The sequence below is a fragment of the Homo sapiens genome, chromosome 7 (assembly GCF_000001405.40).
Source record: "Homo sapiens chromosome 7, GRCh38.p14 Primary Assembly".
Classification (NCBI taxonomy): domain Eukaryota; kingdom Metazoa; phylum Chordata; class Mammalia; order Primates; family Hominidae; genus Homo; species Homo sapiens.
Genome location: NC_000007.14, coordinates 95,006,384 through 95,028,922, shown reverse-complemented (window position 1 = coordinate 95,028,922; position 22,539 = coordinate 95,006,384). Strand labels below are relative to the sequence as shown.

The window sequence follows — 22,539 nt, the reverse complement described above, 5'->3', positions numbered from 1 at the left end:
CCTTGTTTGTCCAAGCAGGTCTAAAGAGTGAAACCACAAGGTTCAATCAGTTAAGCTATCTTCCTGCTTTAGGCTCCACTCAAAGAGGGCTATTATGTCAATGCAGCCCTGCTACAAACAACTTCTGTAGGTGTTTAATTTCTGTCACCAGGGAACATCTGTCTATGGAATTTGTTTGTATGTATTAAATAGGATGTTCTTTACGTAACAAGCATAATAGAGTAAAACATATGCACATTCTAAGAACTTTAAACTTCATAAAAAGCACTTTTTCAAAAACTTCCCCACTTATGCTCCACATTCTATTCAGCCAAGTGAACACACATTATTTCCTCTAGCCCTAAAATGTTACCTAATATTTATTCCATCACACGATTTCTAATAAAACTTACCTAGATTACATGTTAATATATGCAATTACATGAACAATATATTAATAAAATGTGTTGTGTTAATTTTTAAATTTCCCTTCAGCAGAGCATTTGAGATTGCTATTCTAATTCCAAATATATAGTAAGCAATATGAATTCATTTTTATGAAAGAAAATTTCATATTTCTCATATTTCATTTATACCCCTGATTAGAAATATCAGTTATTCTAGGCTGAGTTTTCATCTTTGGGCAGCTGCTTTCTGTTTGTCCAACTTTGCATTACTAAATTGATCTAAAATCATCAAAATATTCTCTAAAAGGATTACACATGAGTTGTATGATTAAATATACTTGATTTCTCTACAGTATTGTCTTCTGAGGTGATTCTGAATCCTGAAAGACTCATTTATCCATAATCACAATACAGAATTTTAGTCACAGAAGAACCTTTGGTGATATGAGACAGCCCTAAATTTATGGTTGAGAAAAGTGAGGCTGAATAAAATGAAAATAATTTTATGTTATCCTGAAAACGAATATATGTCACTCAATGGACCTAAAAGTAAATACACAGGCAGGTCATTCATGAAGCCACAGCACAAAAAAACAAAATACATAAATCAAATACAGTCACATGAGGCATGCAGCATAAAGAGGTTTTGGCTGACAATAGACCACAAAAATGAGGGTGGTCCCATAAGATTATAATACCATACAGTAATTTTACTGTACCTCTTCTATGTTTAGATATATTAAACTATACAAATACTTACCATCGTGATACAACTGCCAACAGTATTCAGTACAGTAACATGCTGCACATGTTTGTTGCTAAGAGCAATAGACTAAACCATATAGCCTAGGTGTGTAGCAGGCTATATCATTTAGGTTTAAATAAAGTCCATGATGTTTGCACAACAACAAAATCACCTTGAAGCATCTCTCAGAACGTATCCCCGTCGCTAAGTGACACATGACTATAAAAATGTAGCTCTTTTCAAGAGAGGCTGGCAAGATAGCTGAATAGGAACAGCTATGGTCTGCAGCACCCAGCTAGATCAACGCAGAACGTGGGTGATTTCTGCATTTCCAACCGAGGTACACAGCTCATCTCATGGGGACTGGTTAGACAGTGGGTGCAGCCCACTTGGGGCGAGCCGAAGCAGGGTGGGGCATCACCTCACCCAGGAAGTGCAAGAGGTCAGAAAACTCCCTCCCATAGCCAAGGGAAGCCGTGAGGGACTGTGCTGTGAGGAATGGTGCATTCTGGCCCAGATACTACACTTTTCCCACGGTCTTTGCAACCTTTAGACCAGGAGATTCCCTCCAGTGCCTATGCCACCAGGGCCCTGGGTTTCAAGCACAAAACTGGGTGGCTGTTTAGGCAGACACCAAGCTAGCTGCAGGAGTATTTTTTCATACCCCGGTGGCACCTGTAACACCAGCAAGACAGAACCATTCACTCCCTTGGAAAGGGGGCTGAAGTCAGGGAGCCAAGTGGTCTAGCTCAGCAGATCCCACCCCTATGGAGTCCAGCAAGCTAAGATCCACTGGCTTGAAATTCTCACTACCAGCACAGCAGTCTGAAGTCGAACTGGGACACTCAAGCTTGGTGGGGGTAGGGGTGTCCGCCATTGCTGAGGCTTGAGTACGTGGTTTTCCCCTCACAGTGTAAACAAAGCAGAGGGGAAGTTCCAGCTGGGCAGAGCTTTCCACACCTCAGCAAAGCCACTGTAGCCAGACTGCCTCTCCAGATTCCCACATTCTGGGCAGGGTATCTCTGAAAAAAAGGCAGCAACCCCAGTCAGAGGCTTATAAATAAAACCCCCATCTCCCTGGGACAGAGCACCTCAGGGAAGGGGCAACTGTGGGTGCAGCTTCAGCAGATTTAAACGTCCCTGCCTGCCAGCTCTGAAGAGAGCAGCAGATCTCCCAGCACAGTATTTGAGTTCCACTAAGGGTCAGACTAGACCACCTCCTCAAGTAGGTCGCTGACACCTGTGTCTCCTGACTGGGAAACACCTCACAGCAGGGACCAATAGACACCTCACACAGGAGAGCTCCGGCTGGCATCTGGAGGGTGCCCCTCTAGGACAAAGCTTCCAGAGCAAGGAACAGGCAGCAATCTTTGCTGATCTGCAGCCTCCACTGGTGATACCCAGGTAAACTGGGTCTGGAGTAGACCTCCAGCAAACTCCAGCAGACCTGCAGTAGAGAGGCCTAACTGTTAGAAGGAAAACTAACAAACAGAAACAAATAGCATCAACATCAACAAAAAGGATGTGCACACAGAAACCCCATCTGAAGGTCACCAACATCAAAAACCAAAGGTAAATAAATCCACAAAGATCAGAAGAAACCAGCATGAAAAGGCTGAAAATTCCAAACACCAGAAAGCCTCTTCCTCCAAAGGATCACAACTCCTTGCCAGCAAGAAAACAAAACTGAATGGAGAATGAGTTTGACAAACTGACAGAAATAGGCTTCAGAAGACAGGTAATAACAAACTCCTCTGAGCTAAAGGAACATGTTCTAACCCAATGCAAGGAAGCTAAGAACCTTGATAAAAGGACAGAGGAATTTGCTAACTAGAATAACCAGTTTAGAGAAGAACATAAATGATCTGATGGAGCTGAAAAGCAAAGCCCAAGAACTTCGTGAATTATACACAAGTATCAATAGCCAAATTGATCAAACTGAAGAAAGGGTATCAAGAGATTGAAGATCAACTTAATGAAATAAAGCATGAAGACAATATTAGAGAAAAAGGAATGAAAAGGAATGAATAAAGCCTCCAAGAAATATGGGACTATGTGAAAAGACCAAATCTATGGTTGATTGGTGTACCTGAAAGTGACAGGGGGAATGGAACCAAGTCGGAAAACACTCTTCAGGATTTTATCCAGGAGAACTTGCCCAACCTAGCAAGACAGGCCAACATTTAAATTCAGGAAATACAGAGAATACTAAAAAGTTACTCCTCAAGAAGAGCAACTGCAAGACACATAATCGTCAGATTCACCAAGGTTGAAATAAAGGAAAAAATGTTAAGGGCAGCCAGAGAGAAATGTCGGGTTACCCACAAAGGCAAGCCCATCAGGCTAACAGTGAATCTCTCTGCAGAAACCCTACAAGCCAGAAGAGAGTGGGGGCCAATATTCAACATTCTTAAAGAAAAGAATTTTCGCCAGGCACAGTGGTTCACGCCTGTAATTCCAGCACTTTGGGAGGCTGAGGAGGGTGGATCACGAGGTCAGGAGTTCAAGAACAGCCTGGCCAACATGGTGAAACCCCGTCTCTACTAAAAATACAAAAATTAGCCAGACATGGTGGTGACCACCTGTAATCTCAACTACTCGGGAGGCTGAGGCAGGAGAATTGCTTGAACCCAGGAGGCAGAGGTTGCAGTGAGCTGAGATCATGCCATTGCACTCAAGCCAGGTGACAGCGAGACTCCATCTCAAAAAAAAAAAGGATTTTCAACCCAGAATTTCATACCCAGCCAAACTAAGCTTCATACGCAAAGGAGAAATAAAATCCTTCACAGACAAGCAAAGGCTGAGAGATTTTCTCACAACCAGGCCTGCCTTACAAGAGCTCCTGAAGGAAGCACTAAACTTGGAAAGGAATAATCGATACGAGCCACTGCAAAAACATACCAAATTACAAAGCCTATTGACACTAGGAAGAAACTGCATCAACTAATGGGCAAAATAACCAGCTAGCATCATAATGACAGTATCAAATTCACACATAACAATATTAACCTTAAATGTAAATGGTCTAAATGCCCCAATTAAAAGACACAGACTGGCAAATTGGATAAAGGCTCAAAACCTATCGGTGTGCTGTATTCAGGAGACCTATCTCATGTGCTAAGATACACATAGGCTCAAAATAAAGGGATGAAGAAATATTTACCAAGCAAATGGAAAACAAAAAAAAAGCAGAGGTTGCGATCCCACTCTAAGAGAAAACAGACTTTAAACCAACAAAGATCAAATGAGACAAAGAAAGGCATTATATAATGGTAAAGGGATCAACGCAACAAGAAGACCTAATTATCCTAAATATACATGCACCCACTACAGGAACACCCAGATTCATATAGCAAGTTCTTAGAGACCTACAAAGAGATTTAGACTCCCACACAATAATAGTGGGAGATTTTAACACCCCACTGTGTATATCAGACACCTCAAGGAGGCAGAAAATTAACAAGGATATTCAGGACTTGAACTGAGCTCTGGTCCAAGTGACCTAACAGACATCTACAGAAATCTCCACCCCAAATCAACAGAATATACATTCTGAGCACCACATCACACTTACTCTAAAATTGACCACATAATTGGAAGTAAAACACTCCTCAGCAAATGGAAAAGAATGGAAATCTTAACAGTCTCTCAGATCACAGTGCAATCAAATTAGAACTCAGGATTAAGAAACTCACTCAAAACCACACAATTACATGGAAACTGAACAACGTGCTACTAAAGGACTACTGGGTAAACAAAGAAATTAGGGCAGAAAACATTTCTTCGAAACCAATGAAAACAAAGACACAACATACCAGAATCTCTGGGACACGGCTAAAGCAGTGTTTCGAGAGAAACTTATAGCACTAAATGCCCACAAGAGAAAGCAGGAAAGATCTAAAATCGACACCCTAACATCACAATTAAAAGAACTAGAGAAGGCCGGGCATGGTGGCTCACGCCTGTAATCCCAACACTTTGGGAGGCCAAGGCGGGCAGATCACAGGGTCAGGAGATTAACACCCTCCTGGCTAACACGGTGAAACTCCAACTCTAATAAAAATACAAAAGAATTAGCCAGGTGTGGTGATGGGTGCCTGTAGTCCCAGCTACTCAGGAAGGAGGCAGGAGAATGGCGTGAAACCAGGAGGCAGAGCTTGCAGTGAGCCAAGATCGCGCCACTGCACTCCAGCCTGGGCAACAGAGCAAGACTCCATCTCAAACAAACAAAAAAAAGAACTAGAAAAGCAACGGGCAAATAAATAATTCAAAAGCTAGCAGAAGACGAGAAATACCTAATATGAGAGCAGAACTGAAGGAGATAGAGACATGAAAAACCATTCAAAAAAATCAATGAATCCAGGAGCTGCATTTTTGAAAAGATCAACAAAATAGACCGCTAGCCAGACTAATAAAGAAGAAAAGAGAGAAGAATCAAATAGATGCAATTAAAAATGATAAAGGGGATATCACCACTGATCCCAAAGAAATACAAACTACCATCAGAGAATACTATAAACAACTCTACAAAAATAAACTAGAAAATCTAGAAGAAATGAATAAATTTCTCGACACATACACCCTCCCAAGTCTAAACAAGGAAGAATTCGAATCACTGAATAGACCAATAACAAGTTCTAAAACTGAGGCAGTAATTAACAGCCTACCAACCAAAAAAAGTCCAGGACCAGACAGAATCACAGCCGAATTCTACCAGAGGTACAAAGAGGAGCTGGTACCATTCCTTCTGAAACTATTCCAAACGATAGAAAAAGAGGGAATTCTCCTAAACTCATTTTATGAGGCCAGCATCATCCTGATACCAAAACCTGGCAGAGACACAACAAAAAAGAAAATTTCAGGCCAATATTCCTGATGAACATTGATGCTAAAATCCTCAATAAAATACTGGCAAACCAAATCCAGCAGGACATCAAAAAGCTTATCCACCACGATCAAGTTGGCTTCATCCCTGAGATGCAAGTCTGGTTCAACATACACAAATCAATAAATGTAATCCATCACATAAACAGAACCAATGAAAAAAACCACATGATTACCTCAATAGATGCAGAAAAGGCCTTCAATAAAATTCAACACCCCTTCATGCTAAAAACTCTCAATAAACTAGATATTGATGGCACATATCTCAAAATAAGACCAGCTATTTGTGACAAACCCATAGCCAATATCATACTGAATGGGCAAAAACTGGAAGCATTCCCTTTGAAAACCAGCACAAGACAAAGATGCCCTCTCTTACCACTACTATTCAATATAGTATTGGAAGTTCTGGCCAGGGCAGTCAGGCAAGAGAAAGAAATAAAGGATATTCAAATAGGAATAGAGGAAGTCAAATTGTCTCTATTTGCAGATGACATAATTGTATATTGTATATTTACAAACTCCATCATCTCAGCCCCAAATCTCCTTAAGCTGATAAGCAACTTGAGCAAAGTCTCAGGATAAAAAAATCAAGTTGCAAAAATCACAAGCATTCCTATACATCAATAATAGACAAACAGAGAGGCAAGTCATGAGTGAACTCCCATTCACAATTGCTACAAAGAGAATAAAATACCTAGGAATATAACTTACAAGGGATGTGAAGGACCTCTTCAAGGAGAACTACAAACCACTGCTCAAGGAAATAAGAGAGGACACACACAAATGGAAAACATTCCATGCTCATGGATAGGAAAGAATCAATATTGTGAAAATGGCCATACTGCCCAAAGTAATTTATAGATTCAGTGTGATTCCCATCAAGCTACCATTGACTTTCTTCACAGAATTAGGAAAAAACTACTTTAAATTTCATATGGAACCAAAAAACAGCCCACATAGCCAAGACAATCCTAAGCAAAAAGAACAAAGCTGGAGCCATCACGCTACCTAACTTCAAACTACACTACAAGGCTACAGTAACCAAAACAGCATGGTACTGGTACAAAAACAGAGATATAGACCAACGGAACAGAACAGAGCCCTTGGAAATAACACCACACATCTACAACCATCTGATCTTTGACAAACCTCACAAAAACAACCAATGGGGAAAGGATTCCCTATTTAATAAATGGTGTTGGGAAAACTGGCTAGCCATATGCAAAAAACTGAAACTGGACCCCTTCCTTACATCTTATACAAACATTAACTCAAGATGGATTAAAGACTTAAACATAAGACCTAAAACCATAAAAACCCTAGAAGTAACCCTAGGCAATACCATTCAGGACACAGGCATGGGCAAAGACTTCATGACTAAAACACCAAAAGTAATGGCAACAAAAGCCAAAATTGACAAATGGGATCTAATTAAACTAGAGCTTCTTCAAAGCAAAAGAAACTATCATCAGAGTGAACAGGCAACCTACAGAATGGGAGAAAATTTTTGCAATCTATCCATCTGACAAAGGGCTAATATCCAGAATCTAGAAAGAACTTAAATAAATTTACAAGAAAAAAAAAAAACCAACCCCATCAAAAAGTGAGCAAAGAATATGAACACTTTTCAAAAGAAGACATTTATGCGGCCAACAAACATGAAAAAATGCTCATCATCACTGGTCATTAGAGAAATGCAAATCAAAACCACAATGAGACACCATCTCACACCAGTTAGAATGGCGATCATTAAAATGTCAGGAAACAACAGATGCTGGAGAGGATGTGGAGAAATAGGAATGCTTTTACACTACTGGTGGGAGTGTAAATTAGTTCAACCATTGTGGAAGACAGTGCGGCGATTCCTCAAGGATCTAGAACTAGAAATACCATTTGACTCAGCAATCCCATTACTGGGTATATACCCAAAGGATTATAAATCATTCTACTGTAAAGACACATGCACACGTATGTTTACTGCAGCACTGTTCACAATAGCAAAGACTTGGAACCAACCCAAATGCCCAGCAATGACAGACTGGATAAAGAAAATGTGACACATATACACCACGGAATACTATGCAGCTATGGCTGAGTTCATGTTATTTGAAAAGGATGAGTTCATGTTATTTGTAGGGACATGGATGAAGCTGGAAACCATCATTCTCAGCAAACTAACACAAGAACAGAAAACCAAACACTACATGTTCTCACTCATAAGTGGGAGCTGAACAATGAGAACACATGGACACAAGAAGGGGCCTGTCTGGGGGACAGGATGGGGGCTGGTGGCTAGGGGAGGGATAGCAGTAGGAGAAATACCTAATGTAGATGACGGGTTGATGGGTGCAGCAAACCACCATGGCACATGTATACCTATGTAACAAACCTGCACGTGCTGCACATGTACCCTAGAACTTAAAGTATAATACAAATAAATAAATAAATAACAACAAAAATGTAGCTCTTTTCTATGATAAAGTTGAACTTACAAATTGAATATTCTAAAAAATAATAAAATATTTAATTTATATCTTCGTTTTAAATTTTATTGACATTTGATTCACAATGACCTGGATATGTAAACTGTACAATTTGATGATTTCTGACCTATATATTCCCATGAAACCATCACTACACCTAAGATAACAAGCATTTCTACCAGACCCTTTACAATCCAATTCTCACTGTACCCTGTTTCCAGGTAACATTGATCTGCTTTATGTCACTACAGGTTCATTGCACTTTCTAGAACTGTATATAAGTAGAATTATATAATAAATATTTCTCTATTGGTCTGGCTTCTTTAAGGGTAATTATTTTGAAATTCATCAATGATGATGATGATGATGATGATGATGATAATGATATAGCCATTTGTTCCTTTTGACTGCTGAGTCCACTGTTTGGGTATGATACAGTTTGTTTCTCCATTCACCTGTTGATGGATATTGGGTTGTTTCCAGTTTTGGCTATTGCAAATGAAACTGCTATCAACATTCATGTACAAATTTCTGTATGGGCACATGTTTTCATTTCTCTTGTATAAATAACTAGGAGTGGAATGGCTGGTTTGGGCGAGGGGGGATGTTTAATGCTTCAAGCAATTGCCAAACTGTTTACTGTTTTACATTTACTTCAGCGATATATATAATTTCCAGTTGTTCCACATGCTTGCCATCCTAATGGATGTAGAGTAAGATAAAATTGTGATTTTACTTTGCACTTCTCTGATAACAACCTATGCTAATCATCTTTTTATGGTTTATCGATTATTCATGTATTTTCTTTTATCAAGTATTAGTTCAAAAATTTTGCCCACTATTTTAAAATTGGATTGTCCTGTTATTATTAAATGGAAAGAGTACTTTATATATTCTGGACACAAGTCCTTTGTCTGATATATGTTTTGGAAATGTTTTCTTCAATTCTTGCTTTTTTGTGATGTGACCTTACTGTGTCATGCCCCAACGGTGAAGATTTTAAGTTATATGTTACTTTATTTATTTATTTATTTTAATTGAGACTGAGTCTCGCTCTATCGCCCAGGCTGGAGTGCAGTGTTGCGATCTGGGCTCACTGCAACCTCCACCTCATGGGTTCAATTGATTCTTGTGCCTCAGCTGGGATTACAGGCGCCTGCCACCACACCCAACTAATTTTTGTACTTTCAGTAGAGATGGAGTTTCACCATGTTAGCCAGGCTGGTCTCGAACTCCTAACCTCAAGTGATCTGCCTGCCTTGGCCTCCCAAAGTGCTAGGATTACAGGCGTGAGCCACCACGCCCAGCCTATTTTTTCTAAGTAGTATGGTTTTAAGTTTTACATGTTGGTCTATGATCCAATCAAATTTTTATGTCTGGTATGAAGTTAAGAGTTAATGTTAATTGTTTTCCAGATGGATATCCAGTTAATATGGTGCCATTTCTGAAAAGATTTTCCTTTTCCCTTTTAATTACCTTGGTAATGTCAAGAACCATGAAGGGTCTGAGATTTTACCCTACTTGCAAGCTACAAGTTAGCCCGCAATGGCTTCCCTCATGCCAGCAGAAGACCCAAGACACCTGAATCAGAGACAAAGCACCTTATTACTCTCAGCACGTCAGGCAGTAAGAGCTTCATGTTTGCATTGGTCCTCCTTAACCACCAACGCCCACAGGGAAATGCAGAAGCAAGGTCAGATGAAGGCTGGCACACAGCGGGTCAGTGTCACAACTGAGGAACCATAAACTTAGCAAACACTCACTCTTACACAGTGGCTGCTAGCAACCCTACCCAGGCTTTGCCTAAGTTGAAGACATTATGCTTACTATCGTGGTCAGAAAACAAATCCAGTTCCTCCCTCCTGTTAGCGCTTGAGGGAAAATGTCATGGAAAGCAAGATACTAGTCATACTTAAAAGTGATTTTAGCTGGGATTTCTTTGTGGAAAATATTCCCAAAGATTGTGTTGTCACCAGGCCAAACGACATGAGCCTTAGTGATGTCATCTGCCATCTTGGCCTCTTCCAACACATTTTCTAGTGATACACAAGAAACATATCCCAGATTTCTGCTGCAGAAGATGATAACGAGAGCCTTCTTGGACATTTAATGATTGTTGGCAAGAAATGTGCTGCTCATCTGGGCCTGAGTAAGGGTTACTGAATGAATGGGTGGTGAATGAACATTCAGATGGTGGACAGTCTGTCTATCATGTTCATCTTCATGTTCTTGGAGTCAGCAGATGAATCAGCCTCCTGGTTAAGCATGTTTTGGGGATAATTTTCCCTTCTCTAGGCAATGATTAAGTTTGCACATTCCAATATGTTAAATAGCACATTTATTTTTGCCTGTGTATGGAGAGATTCAGGAAATAATTTTTGAAACCTTTAAAACCCATACATAATAAGCTATTGTTGCATGGTTAAAAATAAAAGAAAACAAATCCAGACTCTTCTCCCAGAGAAAGGCACTATCTCAATCTCCCAAGCAAGTTTACTATACAAATGTCTTTGGAAAGATAGTCTAGAACAAACATGCCAATGCATCTTGCTCAAAAGATGTGTAGAAATGTCAGAGAACCACAAGAATTTGTCTTAGAACAGGTACATCTATTAAAAAAATCAATTGATCATATATGTGTGGGCCTACTTTTAGATTCTCTATCGTGTATAATTTCATCATACCAAAATGTGTTGATTATTGTAGCCTTATATTAGTTCTTCAAATCAGGTAGGATAAGTCCTCCAACCTTCTTTTTTTTAAACTTCTTTGGTTATTCCAGGTCCTTTTTAACTTCCACATAGTTTTTATAATCAGCTTCTCAGTTTCTACCCTCCTATTCTATTGGCAACATTTTGTATTTTTCAGTGTAGGGGTCTTAGACATCTTTGTTTTGTTTATACCCAAGTATTTTATGATTTTTGGTGCTATTATAAACGGGATTCTTTTAAAATTCATTTTCCAACAGTACGCTGTTAGGATAAATGAATGCACCAATTTTAGTATATTAACCTTGTAGTTTGCAATTATGAAGATTCACTTACTAGTTCTAGTAGTTGTTTTATAGGGTTCCTAAAATATTTTCATGTAATAATCATAACATCTGTAAACAGTAACAGTATTATTTCTCATTTCCCCATCTTTATTCCTTTCATTTCTTTTACTTGCTATATTTCAGTTTCCCAGAGAGTACCACAAACTGCTTGGTTTAAAACAACAAAAATTTATTATCTTGCAGTTCTAGAGGCTAGAAATCCAAAATTAAGGTGTTACTGGGCCATGCTCCCTCCAAAGCCTCTAGGAAAAAATTCTTCCTTCCCTCTTCTAGCTTCTGGTTGTCCTAGAAGTTCCTTGGCTTGAGGGAATATAATTCCAGTATCTGTCTCCATCTTCATATGGCTGTCTTCCCACTGCGTCTCTTCTCTTCTAATAAGGACACCAGTCATATTGGATTAGGACCCACCCTAAATCAGCATGGCCTCATTTTAACTTGATTACATTGCAAAGACCCTATTTCCAGATAAGAATACATTGAAAGGTACCAGAGGTTAGGACTTCAACATAACTTCTTGAGGTACACGATTCAATCCATAACACATACCTTATTACAATGGCTGGGACCTCCATTACAATGCTGAATGAAGTGGACGAAAGTAGGCATCCTTGTCTTGTTCTTATTCTCAGGGGAATAAGATTCTGTCTTTCACCATTAAATATGAGTTACAGATTCTTCCTAGGTGTGCAGAGTTTGAAGAATTTCCTAATTTTTCTTTAATAAATGGATTATTGTCACAGGCCTTAAATGCATCTACCAAAATAATAATGAGATTCATTTCTTTTTTTAATTACACTGATTGACTTTAGGATGTTAAATAAACCTTGTATTCTTAGGATACCTTCTACTTAGGCATGTATTATCCTTTTATATATTATTACATTTGATTTACTAATATTCTGTTAAGATTCTTGCATTTACATTCATGATAGATTTTTGTCTATAATTACCAGCTTTTCAATGTTTTTATCCGGTTTTGGCAATTTTTGAAATTTTCAAAACATTTATTTATTTCATCTCATTGTCAAATGTGTGGCATAAGACTGTTGCTGTATTCTCTAATTATCCTTTTAATGTCTGTAGTACTATTATATATCCCCCTTTTCATTCCTGATATTGATAACTTTTTTTTCTTCATCTATCTGTCTCTAGCCCCCATGATTTCCAATGAGAAATCTGTGGTCATTTAAGTCATTATTCCATTGTATATGATAAGTAATTTTTCTCTGTTTTAAGACTTTGTTTTCATCTGTGGTTTCAGCAGCTTGATTACAATCTATCTAGGCAAGATTTTCTTTCTTATTCTTTAGAGACAGGGTCTTAGGTCTTACTGTTGCCCAAGCTGAAGTGCAGTAGCGCAATCATGGTTCACTGTAACCTTGAACTCCTAGGTTCAAAAGATCTTCTTGCCTCAGTCTCCTGAGTAGCTAGGCCTACAGGCACACACCACCATGCCTGCCCTAATTTTTTTTATTTTTTGTAGAGGCAGGGGTCTCACCATGTTGCCCAGGATATTATTAAACTCCTGGCCTCAAGTAATCCTCCCACCTTAGCCTCCCAAAGTACTGGGATTACAGACATGAGCCACCATAAATCACCTAGATTTTCTTTGTACTTATCCTAACTGGTGTTCACTGACCTTCTTGAATCATTAAATGTGACTTTCTCTTCATTTACAAGACTTTTCACCCATTATTTCTTCAAACATATTTTCCTTGTCAGTCTCTCTTCTCTAAGAGTCTAATTATATTAACATCATAAATTTTGATATTATTCAGCAGGTCCATGAAACTCTGTTCATTTTTTCTCAATCTTTTATCTCTACTTTTCAGACACAATAATTTCTAATGATCTATCTTCTAGTTCACTGACACTTTCCTCTGTTACATCCATTCTATTATTAAGCCTATCTAGTGAGATTTCATTCAGAATTCTATATCCAGTGAAAATAATCCTTACAAATGAAAGCAAAATAAAGACATATTTGATAAAGCTTCCTATCATTCTGTGTAGACATTAAGTTGTGGCAATGATAAATAGCATTACACACTGTAGATTTTTAAATATAGATAGATCAACACAGAAACAGATATATATGTATATGTATGTGTGTGTGTATGTGTGTGTGTGTGTGTGTGTATATATATATTCGTGTGTGTACATATATATTTTATGTTTGCCCACTAAGAGCAACTAGAAGCAATGATAATCCATTATAAATTTTCACATGAAGTGCCCAGGTCCTGGTTTCTAAAAATTATATTCAAATAAAAGAAACTATAGCTCCTTGGAAAAATGGATTATTCCTAGACAGGAAGAGATCCGTATACAATGAGTCTAGAATATCTTTTTGTGCCACAGAATAAAGAAGAATTCAAGGAATCATGGAGATTTTTCAACAGGAAACAGAAACCATCCAGAAAAGGTTCCAATAGGCCAAATCTGGGATAATTCGAGCAAAACACTAAACCACAGTAATGGATTTTAACTCATAGATTAAGATAAGAATCCATGAGTTCATGCTAATATAAATAAATAAGTCAGTAAGCAAATGAGAAAGGAAACTTCTTCCTTACAGTACAATGACAATTAGTAAATACGGAAGTGACAGGATGAGAAAAATCATTTTACAACTATCATAGTAATGCTTTTTTTAAAGCAGTAGTGCTTCAGTCATGCAAGAATCAACAGGTGCTAAAACTAGAGCATTTAACTTTGATGAGAAATAGATATTTACAAAGTCTCAAAGTATTTTCACACAAGATATTTATTAAAGGATAAAATAATAACTTCATAGGGGACAAACTGGCAAAGTGGAGAAACCACCTTAACAAAATGATCAAAGTTAATATAATCAATAATTGGACAAATCTTTATAATGTGTCTCCAGATCTGATGCACTGAAAAGAAAACAAAAACACTTCCACAGTATTCCTGCCAAGACTGCATAAATTGAAAGCTAATCATGAGGAAAGAGCAGATAAACCCAAGCTTATGAATATTTTATCAATTAACTGGCCTACACATTTCAAAATATGTCAGTATCATAAAAGACGAAGAAAAAATAAGGAACTCTTCCAAATTAAGGGAGACATGATGTCTAAATGTAATTAATGTCTGAGCCTAGATCAGATTCTAAATCAGACTTCTTTTGTTTTCCCATAAAGGACATTACTGGGCCAACGGGTCTAATTTGAATAAAGGATACAGATTAAATAAATAAAAGTACTGTATCAATGTTAAGTTTCTGACTTTGATCAATGCATTATGGTTGTTTTAGACCATGTTCCTGATTTTAGGAAATGCATACTTGAGTATTTGGGGATAAAAACATAATCATGACTGTAACTTTATCTCAAATAGTTCAAAAAGAAAAAAGAAGAAGGCAGAGAAAACAACTATGATAAAATGTTTCCATTTTTCATTTAGGAAATCTGGGTTATGAGTACATGAGAATTATCTGTAATTCTTTCTACAATCTTTCTTTAAATCTGAAATTATTTCAAAACAAAAAGTTAGAAAAGTAAAGAGAAAATGCTAAAAACTTGTTGATCAAGTGAAAGATTTGAGAAGGGCTGCAATATTAATAATTTTTAAATCACTTCTACCTTTTAAATGTGAACTGAAAAATTTCTTTTTGCACTGGTAGCAAACCAAACTAAATAATTTCTTAATTAATAAGCACAAGCACTAATTATTTCCAAATGAACGAAAAAAGTATATGTTACTAAACTGGGGATCAAAATCTGTCCCACTACAACAGCAGTCAGGTAGGAGTCTCTTCAATGACTACACAGAAAAGATTTGGTGAAATTTGCAGAAAAGTATCTATTACTTGTATATCATCTTACTCTGGTTTAGTTCTTAAACATTTGGATAACCCTCTGTTTGCTAGTACTAGACTAATGCAATCAGCAGGGACAGAGAAACTATATAATAAAAAATGATAGTCCATGGAACAAAAACTATTTAAGGAATATGAATGAAGGAAGGAAACCACTGAACTGTGTAAATGGATGGGAAGAATATACAGTAATTAAAAATTGACTAAACTTTACCATACTGAATTAAGGTTATGAATGTCTAGGAATTATATTCCCATATATATATCAGTAAAACAATGAGACTGCCCCATCGGTAAACCCCTATCCTTCAAATAAAACCATCAGTTGGTTAATTTCTTATGCAGTGAAAATGACAAAGGCTCACAAGATTAAAAATGGTCAAGTGGCATGGGTAGTGAGTCTGCATGTATCATGAAGCCTGTTACAATTCCAACACCAACCTCTTTCCCAATTCATACTTTGAGGAATAATGTGAATTCAAAGGGGTCCACAACAAAAACAAAAACTTCCCAACTCTTCAATAAAACCTACTACATATACAAAAAAAATGGAAGGGGCCAGAGAAGTCATCCCATCCCGCTAGTAAATTAATCCCCTCTTTACAATAATAATCTAGACAAATTGCCATTTAGCTTGACAGGGAAAGGACTCACTTTGTGAAGGCAGCCCAATCAATCCATATTGAGTGATTCCAACTTTTCACATCATTACATATTAATGTAATCTACTTCCCTAAAATTTCTATATACTCAGTGATCCTAGTCCTGCCTTTTATAAGAAGGTGGAATAATTTTATGCTCATTGTCAGAAATCTTTTCTCCAGATCAGGTTCCCTAGAATTGAGAAGTCCTTCTCTAGACTTCTCATGCATTCCCTCCAAATAAAGTATCTCTTCCTAAAAGCATGATCTTGTTCATCTTACGGATATCCAATTATTCCTTAATATATAAAGTGTAGAATGAAACAAATACTCCAAAGGTATCCTAAAGAGCAGACAACAGAGTACAGGTTTGATATGGTTTGGATCTGTGTCCCTGCCCAAACATCATGTGAAATTGTAATCCCCCATGTTGGAGGTGGGGCCTGGTGGGAGGTGATTGGATCATGGGGGTGATTTCTCATGAATGGTTTAGCACTATTCCCCTAGTGCTGTTCTCATAATAGAGTTCTCAGGGTATGTGGTTGTTTAAAAGTGTGTAGCACCTCCCCTCCCTGTTCCTCCTATTCTGCCCATGTAAGTCGAGCCTGCTTCCTCTTTACCTTCCGCCATGACCTCAGTAAGTTTCCTGAGGTCTCCCCAGAAGCAGAGGCCGCTATGCTTCCTGTACGGCCTGTAGAACCATGAGCCAATTAAACCTCTTTTCTTTATAAATTACTCAGTCTCAGGTATTTCTTTACAGCAGTGCAAGAACTGACTAATACCAGGGGCCTCTTGGAAACTATTTAGAAACTATTAACTGCTATAGTCCATTATTATTTTGACAGTTTTACCAGCTTTATCATATTGTTGGCTCATATAAAACATGCAGTCAACTAAAACCTTTCTGCACTGTTTCCTCGAAATTAAGTGAATATTTTATATATCATTAATGCAGACATATATATTTATTCACATTAAATAACATATTATTTGCCATGACATAGCACATCAGTCCACTGTGATAATGTTAAATTCCTATTTCTCTACTCAATATATTAGCTATTCCTTTCAACTTTTCATGCCCTAAAAATTTATTTTGTGTACCTTCATCTAAGTCATTCATAAGAAATGTGGAGCAGATTTCAAGAGCTCCCTTTCCAAGCCAGTGCTGATTCATCCAAACCACTCTCTTTTGGAATCTTTAGTCACCCAACCATGAAGAATTTCAACTGAAAGTTGTTCTCTCCAGTAGAGTAGTTTTTAAATTCCAGTCTTCATAATTCCTGATTAGTAGTAAATGTGTGATTAATAAATTTTAACTGAAGAAAGTGAAAAATATTAAGAAATCAGAAGAGCAGAAAAGGAATCACTTACAGAGAAAATAAGGATAAAAGGATAAGACCACATATATAGTGATTACTTTTGAAACATTATCTTAGGTTTTAACTTGATTGTTCAGTTTGAAGAAAATCACAAAAGTAAATAGCATCATTATTTCCCCCTACAATCAGTAGCTCATAGAACAGAGCACAGTCTGCCAAGATTCCCTTATAAAAAGAAACTCCGAGAAAGACTAAGTAAGCCAAAATTTTTCAGATGCTTTTACTGTAAGATAATCTAAAAATCAACCTTGTGAAAGAAAGCTCTATTGTAATTCCATATTTGAAAGAATAAAATTAATTTTGGTATGTTTAATTCAGATATTAATGTTTGCATGATTCTCATTTTAAATATAACATAATATTGAGCATGAGGTATTTTGGATGTAATATGCTGATATGAAAAATATCTTTAAAGAAAGGCTGAATTCTGAAAGGCAACACTGTTACCTTAAACTTAGGCCAAATGTAAAGAGATTATATTGAAAGAGAAAAGTTTTCTCTCAGACTGCATTCTGTCAGGCAGACTCCAATTTATCATTTTTACCTACTTTCTACGTGCAATACCAACATCAGTGGTACTTGTATATCTTTATGAACAGTAACATCTGCAACTAAATGCAGAACATCAATATAAGAATACTGCTCCCCTAACACAGCCTCCTGTTTATCTTTAAATTTTAAAATATTATCTGTTATAGCAATAGTACCTGGTTCAAATAGTTATAATTTTCAAAAACAGTAGTATATAGAATTTTTTAAAATTATATATTTTGATTATATATTTTGGGGTAAACTAAAGGTGAAGGCAAAAAGGAAAAAAACTGCCTGAAGGCCTACTAACCACATAAGGGACTACTCCATCTTGCTAACATACATTTTCAATATTGAGTAACTACGCTAGAAACACAGACTTCGACTAAATTCATTGTGAGTAGAATTCAGTAACAGAAACCAAAAAGACCAAGTAAAATTTAAAGAATGAATTTCCTTTAATTTAAAAGCAGAGATAATTATCAAACTTGTAAAGAAAAATAGAAGTTCCGAAATCAGACTGCATTTAAAGGAAGCTATTTTTTTTTTCTTGCCATCTCTGATGGGTCTAGAGTCTCACTCTGTTACCCAGGCTGGAGTGCAGTGGCACAATCACAGCTCATGGCAGCCCTGACCTCCCGGACTCAAGCAATCCTTCCACCTCAGCCTCCAGAGCAGCTAGGACTACAGGTGTGTGCCACCATGCCCAGCTATTTTTATTATTATTATTATCATTATTTGTAGAGACAGTGTCTCACTGTGTTGCTCAGGCTGGCCTCAAACTCCTAAGCTCAAGTGATCCTCCTGCCTCAGCCCCCTAAAGTGCTGGGATTACAGGCGTAAGCCACAGCATCCAGCCAGTATGAAATTTAATATATAGGCAAATGCTCTTTGATATTAACATTTCTGGAACTGTGAATAGTTTGTACCCTCTGAATAGTACATACAGTACCAGAAATGCTAAGATCTCTAGCATGGAAAGGCTCTTAATAGAACACATCATTCATTAAATAATTTAATACTAAGTTCCATTTTTATTATAATCAAATATTTGCTGCTGCTCAAGCCTACAAAACCTGAGGAACTATTTTCCCTATGTGGCAAGGAACACTACTTTCCTGCTAAGCCATTCTGCCCCTGTCCTCCTCTTTACCTGGCTGGATATGCTGTGTGCACTATTCCTGCCTCTTTACAGCCAAGTAACCAGAATTCACTTCATCACTCTATGAATATATATTTATTCCTTTCATTTCAACTGGCTGTCAATAATTCCAAGCTCCTAGTTGCTTGGCTAACAACATTAAGCCCTAACTGCTCAAACTGCTGAAGCACAAGTTCTGGCAGAATTGTACAACTCCCAGTATTCTTGAAAATCCAAAGGAGCACTTGTAAGGGTCCAGTGATTACTCCTGACCTCTACATTTCATTACAAGTCATCAGGATGCATCTCTGATGGGTCTAGAGAAGTGCTAATCAAAGCTGGAACTCAAAACTTCCCTACTACCTAGCCACTGGTAGCATTAGGAAACCGCCACATCTTGATGGCGAAGACGTTAAGAATCCCAGCACACCTGGATGCTAGAGAACAATGCTATCATCCCTGTCAAGAGAGTAGGCAGCAACCTCTTTCTTTAAAGCAAGAGTCTTTTTTTAATATATATTTTCTTCATTATACTTTAAGTTCTAGTGTACATGTGCACAACGTGCAGGTTTGTTACATATGTATCCATGTGCCATGATGGTGTGCTGCACCCATTAACTCCTTATTTACATTAGGTATATCTTCTAATGCTATCCCTCCCCCCTTCCCCGACCCCATGACAGGCCCCGGTGTGTGATGTTCCCCTTCCTGTGTCCAAGTGTTTTCATTGTTCAATTCCCACCTATGAGTGAGAACATGCGGTGTTTGGTTTTCTGTCCTTGCGATAGTTTGCTGAGAATGATGGTTTCCAGCTTCATCCATGTCCCTACAAAGGACATGAACTCAACCTTTTTTACGGCTGCATAGTATTCCATGGTGTACAGGTGCCACATTTTCTTAATCCAGTCTATCACTGATGGACATTTGGGTTGGTTCCAAGTCTCTGCTATTGTGAATAGTGCCAAAATAAACATACGTGTGCATGTGTCTTTATAGTAGCATGATTTATAATCCTTTGGGTATATACCCAAAACTCCACTCTCTCCCATTCTTCAATGGGGTAGGTGTGACCATGATACCAAGTTCTCACCAAATAAGAACAAATAGAATATGAGCAGAATTTAAATATCCCACTTCCAGACCACTGCTTTTAGGAAAGCAGTGGTACTCCTTTTACACGTTTACCTCTTCTACCAGAGGACAACAGTGAAGCTTACAACGTACATGGTGATCCCATTAGACAGAAGGAGCTTCATGTTCCTGAAAGAATGTCCAACAAACCTGAAGCAGTAAGGACTATCATGTGAGTAGGAAATAAACTTTACTGAACTGAGCCATTAAAGTGTGGATTTGTTACTGCAACTTAGCCTACTCTTTAACTAAAACAGAATCCCACAATAAGGCTGATTCCTTCATCCATTGTTCCTCTTGGCAAATAGAGATAAATCTATAAGGAGTCTCTCTAATGCATTTTAAAGCTTCATATATATCTGTATGCCGATTGTAGGGAGATTTCAAGTAGGTGTTTCCCCCTAAAAACCCCTTTTATGAATCAGATAACAGAAATGTTAAAATGGAGTAGAAGAGTACCATCAAACTACAACCCACCAAAGGCATCTGATTCTCAGCTGAGCTTAGCTGACCATATTTATCATGTAATTTGTTTCTTACCATAAAACCATAAAATAGACATTATTTCAATTTTACAGGAGAAAAAACTGAAGCTTGGTTTGTTTGTGTGTTTGTTTATTTATTTGAGATGGAGTCTCACTCTGTCCCCCAGGCTGAAGCGCAATGGCATAATCTCAGCTCACTGCAACCTCCACCTCCCAGGTTCAAGTAATTCTCATGCCTCAGCCTTCTGAGTAGCTGGGATTACAGGCATGCACCACCACGCCCAGCTAATTTTTGTATTTTTAGTAGAGACAGGGTTTCACCATGTTGATCAGGTTGGTCTCGAGCTCCTGACCTCAGGTGATCCGCCCGCCTCGGCCTCCCAAAGTGCTGGTATTACAGGCGTGAGCCACCACGCCTGACAAAGCTTCGTTTCTATAACTTTGTAACAGCCACATATGGAATACTAAGGATAGTATTTAAAATCGATCCAACAGATACCTAAAGCTAACTCTTATTTATACTATACATGGATTATACAATATTTCCTCTCCAGGTTTTTACATATTTGTTGATACATACAGGCTATAACATAAAAATTACCATTTCAATACAAGATAATCAGGCCTTAAAATAAAGTTACTATTTCAATTAAGTAAAAATTACTGGGTTCTTATACATAATAACACAATTGAGGAGACATATGTATGGGAAATGAGAGAATACAAACACAAAAGACCTTCTTGCCCTAGAGCAGTGGTTCTCAACCGCAGATTTTGCCCTCCAGAGGACATTCAAGCAACGTCATCTTAAGACATTTTTATTTGTCACAAATTGGGCGAGGAGGTACCACTGGCATCTATTGGGGTGAGGCTGGGAACGCTGCTAAACATCCTACAATGCACAGGACAGTCTCCCATGACAAAGAATTATCTGGGTTAAATGTCAATAGCATCAAAAATATCTCCCTAGAATAATTTACAATCTATGGCAAAACTCTGTACTCCAATGAGGCACCTAAAATTTAGGATGGCCATTCAAAAATTTATTATGGCCGGGCACGATGGCTCACGCCTGTAATCCCAGCACTTTGGGAGGCTGAGATGGGCGGATCACCTGAGGTCGGGAGTTCAAGACCAGCCTGACCAACATGGTAAAACCTCGTCTCTACTAAAAATACAAAATTATCCTAGTGTAGTGGCGTGCTCCTGTAGTCCTAGCTACTTAGGAGGCTGAGGCAGGAGACCTGCTTGAACCTGGGAGGTGGAGGTTGCGATGAGCCAAGATCGCAGCATTGCACTCCAGCCTGGGCAACAAGCGCGAAACTCCGTCTCTCAAAAAAAAAAAAAATTATTATGGCCATTCAATGAAAAAAGATCAGGCAGGGAAAGGAGACAATGGTAAGACAACTGAATTGCTCAACAGGCTATTAGCAAATAAACCCTGTCTCACCTCCAGGAGACCATATCAGAATTGAGAAGGGTAAGGGATATGGCAAAGTACTCTTTATAATTAGAATGTAGTAAATTTTATTTTTTCTCAGTAGTTTACCAGAAGGTATTATCCTACTAAATAAAATGTTAATTTCCTGTGTTGCAGAAATATATAATAGGTCATGCACTTTATATTTAGGATCTTCCTTTCAAAAAATCAAAGGCCTAGCCAAATATCTTCTTATATAAACAAGCATTAAAAATGTTCTTGGCCGGGCAAGGTGGTTCACGCCTGTAATTCCAGCACTTTGGGAGGCTGAGGCAGGTGAATCACCTGAGTTCGAGACCAGCCTGGCCAACACGGTAAAACCCTGTCTCTACTAAAAATAACAAAAAT

General features: G+C 37.9%; 1 protein-coding gene and 1 pseudogene across 43 annotated transcripts in view, besides 1 other annotated feature; one reads left to right on the top strand and one right to left on the bottom strand.

Moving 5' to 3' along the window:
• Positions 1-22,539, bottom strand: part of PPP1R9A (protein phosphatase 1 regulatory subunit 9A) — a 389,180-nt gene that overhangs the window by 267,493 nt on the left and 99,148 nt on the right. The gene's annotated exons all lie outside the window — the stretch shown is intronic.
• Positions 1,839-2,338: an enhancer, noted in NCBI's record as "H3K27ac hESC enhancer chr7:94655897-94656396 (GRCh37/hg19 assembly coordinates)". NCBI's record gives its function as "activates a minimal SCP1, AML or CMV promoter by ChIP-STARR-seq in naive H9 embryonic stem cells {active_cell/tissue: H9 hESC(naive)}" and the evidence as "EXISTENCE:reporter gene assay evidence [ECO:0000049][PMID:30033119]".
• On the top strand, positions 10,485-10,923 carry HINT1P2 (histidine triad nucleotide binding protein 1 pseudogene 2; annotated as a pseudogene).